Genomic DNA, 11540 nt, shown 5'->3' with positions numbered 1-11540 from the left:
CCTCAGCCTCCCGAGTAGCTGGGATTACAGGCGCCCACCACCACGCCCGGCTAATTTTTTGTATTGGCATGCAGAAGGTTTTGATTTTTTTTCAGTCAAATTTGTCAACCTTATATTGCTGCTGAATTTTGAAGTCTTACTTGCGAAAGCCTTCCCCACTCCGTTTTTAATCTTTAGCAGTTCTAGCACTTCATTTTCTACCTTTTAACATTGAATTCTTTGGGAAATTATACTTGTGCACAATGTGAAGTAGGGGACTTACGTTATCTTTTTTTCCCCAGACTGCCATCCAGTCGTCCCACTGTAATTTATTAAAATGCCCTTCTTCATCTCAGTAGTTTGGAATGTCCTCTTTATGATATAATACATTCCTTTATACATTTTGGTCTATTTCTGGACCTTCTATTCTGTTCCATGTGCTTATATGTTTCTTCAGATACCAATTGCACATTTTAAATTGGTGTATTTTGATACCTAGTAGGTCTGTTCTATAATTTCTCTTCATTTTCTGGCTATTTAAAATTTTATGTTTCCATGTTAATTTTAGAATCAATTTGTCTAGTTCTAGAAAAAAAATCCTGCTGTTATTTTTGTTGGATTGCTTTAAATTAAGAAGAATTGACTTTGAGTTTTCCTTTCCAAGAATATGCTGTTTCTTTTTCATAATACTTTTAAAGCCATTAGTAATACTTCCAAGTTTTTCTCATATTATTTGGTTTTGCATATTTTTAGTTAAGTTTGCTCCTAGCTGAAAGTGGGGTATTCCATCCTATTATATCTTCTGTTGTTTTACTATATAAAGGGTAACGATTTCTCTCTCTCTCTCTCTCTGTCTCTTTCACCTGCCTGCCTGCCTGCCTGTCTTCCCTCCCTCCCTCCTTCTCCTCTCCCCTCCCCTCCCCTCTCCTCCCGTCCTCTCCTCTCTTTCTTCCTGGTTTCACTCTGTCATCCAGGCTGGAGTGCAGTGGTGCAATCATAGCTCACTGCAATCTCCACTTTTCAGGCTCAAGGGATCCTCCTACCTCAGCCTCCCTAGTAGCTGGGACTCCAGTTGCATGCCACTATGCCTGGCTACTTTTTTAATTTTTTGTAGAGACAGGGTCTCTCTATGTTGCCCAGGCTGGTCTTAGACTCCTGGGCTCAAGCAATCCTCCCACCTCGGCCTCCTAAAGTGATGGGATTACAGTCATGGGCCACCATGCCTGGCCATGATTTCTTTTTAATTAATTTTACATACTGCTATTTTACTGAATTATCTTATATTTTGTTGTGCTATTTCAGTTACTTTATTGGGTTTATGAATACAAAATCGTATCATCTCAAACTAGACATAGCTTTGCCTCTTTCCAGTCTTATGCCTCTAGTTTTCTTCTCTGGTCTACTTGTATTGGTTTAATATGGTGTTAAATAGAGTAGTAATTGTGAGCATCTTTGCGTCTAACAGCAGCAGGAATGCTTCCAGTGTTTTTCCCCCATGTCAGAAGCTGGCCTCTGCACCAATTTTACACAGATGTGTGCACACACATGCACCTGCCCACCCAGATACCAGCAGCCACCCCAGAGGTTGCCTGCAGGTAGTTCCCATCCACACGGCAAACTTCCTGCCCCTTTCTGCTTGAGCACATTCTCCAGCAGTGGGAGGGCGTGGCCCTGTGTGGGCAGACAAGGTATCCTGTGAAACTACAGCCTCTAGAAGGGACTCCCAACCAATGAGGTCTGGGAGTCAATGGAAAAAAAGTTGTTCGCCCTTCTAGGGAACAACTCAGTTGTGTGTTCCACATGGGCTCTTAGAAGATCTCAAGGGAAACTGAACCTCAGCTGCCCGCAATGTTAACCCCTCATGCAACTCTCATTAGCTTTACTTGTCTCAATTCCCTACTCCCTCACGGTGCCTCCTGAAAATCACCTCCCAAATCAACTACTTGTACACACATCCTTGTCTCGGGGGACTCAAACTAACAGAGAAGTATACAACTGTTCCTATTGTTTTTGCTTTTTAATTTTTTTTCAACTTTTATTTTAAATTCAGGGTCCGTGTGCAGGATATGCAGGTTTGTTACATAGGTAAAAATGTGCCATGGTGGTTTACTGCACAGATCATCCTCTCACTCAGGAATTAAACCCAGCATCCATTAGCTGTTCTTCCCGATGCTCCTGCTTCCCCCACCCCCCAACAGGGCCCAGTGTGTGTTGTTCTCCGACCTGTGTCCATGTGTTCTCATCAATCAGGTTCCACTTATAAGTCAGAACATGCAGTGTTTGGTTTTCTGTTCCTTTGTTAGTTTGCTGAGGATAATGGGTTCTAGCTCTGTCCATGTCCCTGCAAAGGACATGATCTTTTTCCTTTGTATGGCTGTATAGTATTCCATGGTGTGTAAGTACCATATTTTCTTTATCCAGTATATCACTGATGGGCGTTTAGGTTGATTCCATGACTTTGCTATTGTAAATAGTGCTGCAATGAACATATGCATGCGTGTATCTTTATGACAGAATGATTTATATTCCTTTGGGTATACACCCAGTAATGGGATTGCTGGGTCAAATGGTATTTCTAACTCCAGGTATCTGAGAAATCGCCAGTTATTCCTATTGTATTGCATTTTTTTACCTGGACTTAGCATTGAATTTTGTCACAAGTTTTTCCATCTGTGGACTTGATTATAGGAACTTTCCTCTTAGATTGGTATAGTGAATTTTACTAATGGGCTTCCTAATATTGAATATTTCTTCCATTCCTCAAACTCTTGTTCCGGGTTATAACGTGCCATTGGGTTCTGCTTGCTAATGTTTTCTTTAGGATATTTGCACTGATATTTCTAAGGATGATTTGTCTGTCATTTTCTTTTTATTGCAATCTTTATCAGATTTTGTTATCAGTGTGCTTATACTGTCATAAAAAGAATTTGGAGTGTTTTCTTCTTTTCCTATATTTGGAACAGTTTAACACCGGAATTATCTGATCTTTAAGTCTGGTAGAACTTCCCTGTGAAATTGCTCTGTAGAACTAGCTAATCCTGGCCCTTTTTGAGGATCGTGTCACTGACGACATCCCATATTTCCTCTATGGAAATTTATTTATTAGGCTTTCTATCTCTTCAGTTAAAAAATTATACTTTTGTAGAAAGGACATGTTTTAATTTAGATTTTCAAATTTATTTACAGAGTTATGGAAAAATCTCATAATTTTTAAAGTTTTCTGTTGTTATGGTTACCCCCTCTTTTGTCATTTCTTATTTTGTGAATTTTTTCTTGCTTTTCTTTGTAGTAGTAGGTTAACTACTTATCTATTTTACTGTCTTTCCTCAAATTACCTGCTTGCTTGCTTGTTTCCTTATTTACTTATTTCTATGTTAGTTTTGACTATTTTTCTGTATTCTAACCTAGTGATTCAGCTTTAATCTTTATTAATTCTCTCTATTAGGTTGGTGCAAACGTAATTGCAGCTTAATACTTTTTTTTTAGTTAATTTTGTTGTTCTTTCTATGTTTGGTGGGTTGGAAGCTTAATTCATTTACTTTTAGTCTTTCCGTTTTGTTGACATAAGTATTTAAGACTGTGAAGTAGGCTGGGTGTGGTGGCTCATGCCTGTAATCCCAGCACTTTGGGAGGCTGAGGCAGGTGGATCACTTAAGGCCAGTTCGACACCAGCCTGGTCAACATGCTGAAACCCTGTCTGTACTAAAAATACAAAAATTAGCCAGGCATAGTGGCAGGAACCTGTAATCCCAGCTACTCGGGAGGCTGAGGCAGGAGAATCACTTGAACCTGGGAGGTGGAGGTTGCAGTGAGCCAAGATTGTGCCACTCTACTCTAGCCTGGGAGACAAAGCGAGACTCTGTCTCAAAAAAACAAAAGCAAAAACAAAAACAAAAACAAAAAAACCCAAAACTGAGTTCTTTAATGGAGAGAATGTTAATCAAGTCCTTTTTGCTTATTGATTTTGTTGTTAAAATAATTGGTTTTATTGCATTATGTTCAGAAACTTCTGTATCTTTTCTATTTTGTGGGGCATTGTTTTATTTTCTTTGTGCCAATTTGGTCTCTTTTTATGAATGTTTCATGGACATTTGAGAAGGTATATTCTCCATTGTCAGAATACCTGGTGTGACTGATGTGCATATAGTTATCTTACTGATTAAGTTGTCTATAGTCTTACTTTAACTTGACCATTTGATCTGTCTTGCGATGAGAATTGTCAGTTAAACATACTGCTGTTAATATTTTTCTATTTATATTTCCTAGTATCTCTTATAGTTTTTGCTTTATAAAAATTGCTACTGTGTTTGATGTGTAGATTCTCCCAACTCTAACACCGTCACTGTGAATTTTACTAAGTAATGCATAAGGTAGTACTCTAAAATATTTATAAAACTAAGTTCATTGACAGACTCTTCAAAATCTGGGCTCTGGTACACTGTCTGTGGCCATTGAATTTGACATCCGCACCATTTTGAAATTGGGCCGCTCTTGCAAATAGCCTCTAATACCCCTCCTTGGTAATGGCCCTCCCTTTGCCATCCTCTTGTGCATCTTAACAACCTCATTTAAATCCATTTTGAGCCATCTTTTTTCAGTGAGCATTACTTCCAATCTTCCCTCATAGCAGAAATCTCAGGATTTTATCATTTCAATCTTGTCACACAGTTTTTCCATTTTGCTTTCTGTGAGGTGGTTCCGAGATGGGTCCTGGAAAATCGGCTTGCAAGGAAACAATTTCCTGCTCAGGAGTCCTGCATTCCTATCATACTCTGAACTCCAGGTTAGACACAGTGGCCCACATTTGTTCCAAGGACACTTGATTGTATATCCTTATGCTAATTACATTTTCCCACTATGAGGTTTCCTGTGTATTTCCGTATGTTATACCCTTCCTTGCTGTATTAGTCAGGGTTCTCTAGAGGGACAGAACTAATGGAATATATATATATTAAGGGGAATTTATTAAGTATTAACTCACACGATCACAAGGTCCCACAATAGGCCATCTGCAGGCTGAGGAGCAAGAAGAACCAGTCCGAGTTTCAAAACTGAAGAACTTGGAGTCTGATGTTCGAGGGCAGGAAGCATCCAGCATGAGAGAAAGATGTAGGCTGAGAGGCTAGGCCACTCTCTCTTTTAACATTTTTCTGCCTGCTTATATTCTAGCCACTCTGGCAGCTGATTAGATGGTGCCCACCCAGATTAAGGGTGGGTCTGCCTTTCCCAGCCCGTTGACTCAAATGTGAATCTCCTTTGGCCTCACCCTCACAGACGTACCCAGGATTGATACTTTGTATCCTTCTATGCAATCAAGTTGACACTCAGTATTAACCATCACACCTGCCCAGAGTAAGTACTGCCGTTTAGGTCAGGACACCCCAATCTCATCGCAGGTTAATGTCTTAAGACCTCTAATGTGACTGTAAAAATAGCATTTCTTAAACTTTTGCAATTCCTTGTGGTCACTATAGTACATTTAAAAATTGTTTTAGATCATACCATAATAATTGTTGAACAAAATTGTTTCCTCTGTTTTGTGGATTAATATTTTCTTTTTTTTTTCCTTCATCACTTTTTATCCTGGTGGTTGTCTTTTAATGTCTCATCAGAGGTGTTCCACAATGCATGCCCCTGCAAGGCAGACCTCTCAGAATCTGAGTGCCTTGGGTCTGTAATACGGGAAAAATAGGAATCATGCCTTCCAGTATCTCTTATGACTGTCACTGTTTGATGTAAGAGTTTGGCAAAGTACTTTGAGATTCTTGGAGAACAAGCACTGCCTAATAAATGCATGGTGTCATCACTGTCATCGCTTGATCTATTTAATGTTACTGGGAGTATCAAGGCAGGCTATGTCTATTTCTTTCCTCATCTGTTCTCTGCATTATCTCCTTACGCTTTCCCTGAATGGGCTACGTGGGATTCGCCTTCATGGCACTGTGTTCTGGCTTTCATTTCTCTATCAGCCCATCTTTCTCCAGATGGCTTGTGATCTCACCGCTCACTAAGCGCTTTTCAAATTCAGATCGCTTTTACCGTTAGATTTGCTGATGACTACTGATCTGTAACATTCTTGTTCCCTAGAAGAATGGAAAAACAAATGTTGCCAAATTGTATAATAATTTAAAGACAAAGCATACGTGGTCTAGTAGGGAAGGCTTTTTTGGTTCAAGCATGGGACAATGTATAATATTGACACATAATTTGTATACTTTTTGGAAAACTGTATTTCATCACCTAGGTATTTATCTACATTATATTTATTCCCTGGTGGCATCCCAGATATGTTGTATCACAAAGATAACCTGCTGATGACCTATTCAAACTAAAAATGTAGCACGAGGCCACGCTCAGTGGCTCACGCCTGTAATGCCAGCACTTTGAGAAGCCGAGGTGGGCAGATCACTTGAGGTCAGGAGTTTGAGACCAGCCTGGCCGACATGGCGAAACCCTGTCTCTACTAAAAATACAAAAAAATTTGCTGGGCATGGTGGTGCTTGTCTGTAATCCCAGTTACTCAGGAGACTGAGGCAGGAGAATCACTTGAACCTGGTGGGGCACAGGTTGCAGTGAGCCAAGATCACGCCACTGCACTCCAGCCTGGGCAACAGAGCAAGACTCTGTCTCAAAAATAAATTAAAAAATCAATCAATCAATAAATCAATCAATAAAATAAAAATGTAGCATGAGGGCAGGGATAGAAGAAATTAAAATTTTAAAAAATTTTAAAAATCGATTTAAGGGGTACAAGTGCAGATTCCTTACCTGCATGTATTGTATAGTGATGAATCTGGGCTTTTAGTGTCCCCGTTACCTGAATAGTGAACAGTGTATCCAATAGATGATTTTTCAGCCCTCACCCCCTTCCCCCCTCCCACCCTCGCACCTTTTGCAGTCACCAATGTCTGTTACTCTATTCTGTATACCCATGTGGACCCATCGTTTAGTTCCCACTTGTAAGTGAGAACATGTGCCATTTGACTTTTTCTTTCCCTCCCTTTCTCTCTCTTTCTCTCTTTCTCTCTCTGTCTCTCTTTCCTTCTTTTTTTGAGTTTCGCTCTTGTTGCCCAGGCTGGAGTGCAGTGGTGTGATCTCGGCTCACTGTAACCTCTACCTCCCGGGTTCAGGTGATTCTCCTGCCTCAGCCTCCTGAGTAGCTGTGATTACAGGTATGCACCACGATGCCGAGCTAATTTTTTGTATTTTTAGTAGAGACAGGGTTTTGCCATGTTGGCCAGGCTTGTCTTAAACTTCTGACCTCAAGTGATCCACCTGCCTCGGCCTCCCAAAGTGCTGGGATTACAGGCTTGAGCCACGGTGCCTGGACTGACTTTCTGTTTCTGAGTTACTTCACTTAGGATAATGGCCTTCAGTTCCATTTATATTGCTGCAAAAGACATTATTTCATTTGTTTTTATGGCTGAGTAGTATTCCGGGGTGTGTATGTGCCATGTAGTCTTTATCCAATCCTCCACTGTTGTTGTTGGACACTTTGGTTGATTCCATAACGTTGTTTTGTGGATAGTGCTGTGATAAACATACAAGGGCAGGTATCTTTTTGATATGATTTCTTTCCCATTGGGTATATATACCCAGTAGTGGAGTTGCTGGATCAAATGCTAGTTCTATTTTTAGGGAGAGCTTATTTTTTAAAAAAGAGATTGCTGAAGTTTTCTTCTGCTGCTAGAAATAAGAATATAGATCCTCTTACATTGTTTCTCTTATAAATAATTCATAAGCCCATTTTCTTTTCTTTTCTTTTCTTTTCCCTTTTTCTGAGACAGGTCTTGCTCTGTTGCCCAGGCTGGTGTACAGTAATGTGATCATGGCTCACTGCAGCCTTGCCCTCCCAGGCTCAGGTGATCCTACCACCTCAGCCTCCGAAGTAGCAGAGACCACAAGTGCACACCATCATTATTTGTAGAGATAGGATATCCCTATGTTACCCAGGCTGGTCTTGAACTCCTAGGCTCCAGCAGTCCTCTAGCCTCAGCCTCCCAAAGTGCTGGGATTACAGGCATGAGTCATCATGCCTAACCAGCGATTTTTTTTCTTAGTGGAAAAAGATGTCCACTAATTCTCTAAGACTTTGTGTCTTTGTTCTATAGATGCACTTGGTAGATTTTCATAGGATTTTTGTGATCTTGCAACCCCAAAATGGGAAAAAAATATATTTTATATATATAATAAATATATAAAATATATATTTAAATATAATATAATATATAATATATTATATAATATATATTTTATATATTTATATAAAATTATAAATTAAAATTTATATATTATATATTATATATTTTATATAATATATAATATATAATATAATAATGTTATATATTATATAATATATAATATATAATATAATAATGTTATATATTATATAATATATAATTAATTTTGTTATATATTATATAATATATAATATAATTTATTATATATTATATAATATATAATATAATTTATTATATATTATATAATATATAATAAATTATATCAATATATAATAAATTATATCAATATATAATAAAATAAATATATTATAAATTTATATAATATATTTTATATATTATATTAAAATATATTTTTATATATTTATAATATATATATTTTATATAATATATAGTATATAAAAATGTATTTATATATTAAATACATATTTATATGTAAATATATATAATTAAGTATACATTTATATGTAAATATATATAATTAATTATATATTTATATGTAAATATATATTAAATATATATTTACATATATGTAAATATATATTTAATATATATTTACATATAAATATATATTAAATATATATTTATATAATATATAATTAAATATATATAAATATATAATTAAATATATATTTATATGTAAATGTATAATTAAATATATATTTATATAATATATAATGAAATATATATTATATAATATATAATTAATTATATATTATATAATATATAATTAAATATATATTATATAATATATAATTAAATATATATTATATAATATATAATTAAATATATTTATATAATAAATATCTATAATTAAATATATATTTATATAATATATAACTAAATATATATTTATATAGTAAATATCTATAACTAAATATATATTTATATAATATCTATAACTAAATATATATTATATAATATCTATAACTAAATATATATTTATATAATATCTATAACTAAATATATATTTATATAATATCTATAACTAAACATATATTTATATAATAAAGATATATAACTAAACATATATTTATATAATAAAGATATACAACTAAACATATATTTATATAATAAAGATATATAACTAAATATGTCTTTATATAATAAAGATATATAACTAAATATGTCTTTATGTAATAAAGATATATAATAAAGGTATATAATTATATGTCTTTATGTAATAAAGGTATATAATTATATGTCTTTATGTAATAAAGGTATGTAATTATATGTCTTTATGTAATAAAGGTATGTAATTATATGTCTTTATGTAAGAAAGATATAATTATATGTCTTTATGTAAGAAAGATATAATTATATGTCTTTATGTAATAATTATATGTCTTTATGTAATAAAGAAATAATTATATGTCTTTATGTAATAAAGATATAATTATATGTCTTTATGTAATAAAGGTATATAATTATATGTCTTTATGTAATAAAGGTATATAATTATATACATGATATATAATTATATATTTATATAATAAAGATATATAATTATATATGACATATAATTATATATTTATATAATAGATATATAATTATATATCTATTATATAAATATATAATTATACATATCTATTATATAAATATATAATTATGTATATTTATTATATAAATATATAATTTATATATTTATATAATAAATATGTAATTAAATATATATTTATATAATAAATATATAAAATTAAATATATGTTTATATAATAAATATATAATTATATGTTTATATAATAAATATATAATTATATGTTTATATAATTATATATATTTATACAATAAATATAATTATATATGTTTATAAAATAAATATAATTATATATGTTTATACAATAAATTTAATTATATATGTTTATATAATAAATATATATATGTTTATATAATAAATATAATTATATGTTTATATAATAAATATAATTATATGTTTATATAATAAATATAATTATATATATTTATATACCCAATGGGAATTTTTTGGCTGCAAGCAACAGAAAGTTCAACTTAAACCAACTTAATTTAAAAAAATGAACGAATTGGCTCATATACCTAAAATGTCCATGGAGGCTTCAGGCACATTTGGTTCCAGGAATTTTGGTGGTGTCATCGGACTCAACTTATTCTCTTGCATCTTTATTTCCTTTCCTTTGTTTTCGTTTATTCTCAAGCAGGCTGCTACCTGTGTTGGCAAAGTGGTTCCCAGAAGCTCCAGGTTGATATGCCTTTCCCAGGAGAAGGAGAACATTTTTATCTTGGACTCTCTAGCAATGAACTAGGGATTAGTTCTGATTAGACTTGTGGTATGGGCCATAACTGCTATTAGGGGGATGGGATAGCCTGATTGACAAGGCCTGGATCATGTGCCTGCCCCTGGATCTGGATGTGAATTTGACTACTCCTGAACCATAGATACACAGGATTGGGCTGGGGGTAATTTCCAAAGGAAAACCTAGATGCAGAATGTGGGATAGGCAAAAACAGCAACTGTCTACCACAAATGGCAACTCAGAAGAATCAGATGACTTTTTTGGGGCATGGAAGACCTGCTCTCTATATAAAGAAAAGCAGTGTATATAGGAAGGCTGGGTCTTTTTAGTCCTAGCATTGCCTTATGGAGTAGTCAGAATTGGCCCAAATTATGAGATATTTTAAGCTTGATAATTTAATATATTAAAAATAATGACTCTATATTCAAATATTTAATTTTTGCTCCAGAATATGAAAATAATTCTCATTTATTTACAATTCAAGAAGAAATGATTAGCCACACTCCAAATCTGGAAATGTGACTTACTGACATGTTATACGATGGTGACTCTCTCCTTTTCTTTTTCTTTTCTTTTCTTTCTTTCTTTTTTTTCAGGGTCTTGCTCTGTCCCCCAGGCTGGAGAACGGTGGCGTGATTATGGCTCACTGCAGCTTTGACCTCCTGGGCTCAAGAGATCCTCCTATCTCAGCCTCCTGAGTGGTTGAGATCACAGGTGTGCACCAGCACGCCTGGCTAATTTTAAGATTTTTTGTAGAGACAGGGTCTCCCTGTGTTGCCCAGGCTGCTCTTGAACACCTGAGCTCAAGCGAATCTCTCGCCTCGGCCTCCCAAATTGTTGAGATTGCTGTTAAGTAGAAAAGTCTTTAAGGCAGAGAACTTTACTCCCCCGAAATAATCTGTGCTTCTTAGAAGCAAAATTTCTGTTTGCTTCTATTTGACGTTGAACCGAAGAAGGTGAGCCCTTTATGGAGAGGGAAAATACTGGCATTTGCAAATTAAGCTGCTGAGAGCTGTCCTTAAAGTTCATTTGGGAATGCAATTTCCTCATA

At 34.3% G+C, this 11540-nt stretch overlaps 1 annotated feature.

Annotated features, from left to right (window-relative positions):
* Positions 10358-10558: a silencer, noted in NCBI's record as "peak2636 fragment used in MPRA reporter construct". NCBI's record gives its function as "represses an SCP1 promoter by STARR-seq MPRAs in K562 erythroleukemia cells {active_cell/tissue: K562}" and the evidence as "EXISTENCE:reporter gene assay evidence [ECO:0000049][PMID:32103011]".

The sequence above is a fragment of the Homo sapiens genome, chromosome 16, assembly GCF_000001405.40.
Source record: "Homo sapiens chromosome 16, GRCh38.p14 Primary Assembly".
In the NCBI taxonomy this organism is placed as follows: Eukaryota; Metazoa; Chordata; class Mammalia; order Primates; family Hominidae; genus Homo; species Homo sapiens.
Note: the sequence above shows the minus strand (reverse complement) of the source record. Positions and strands in the feature narration are given on the sequence as shown.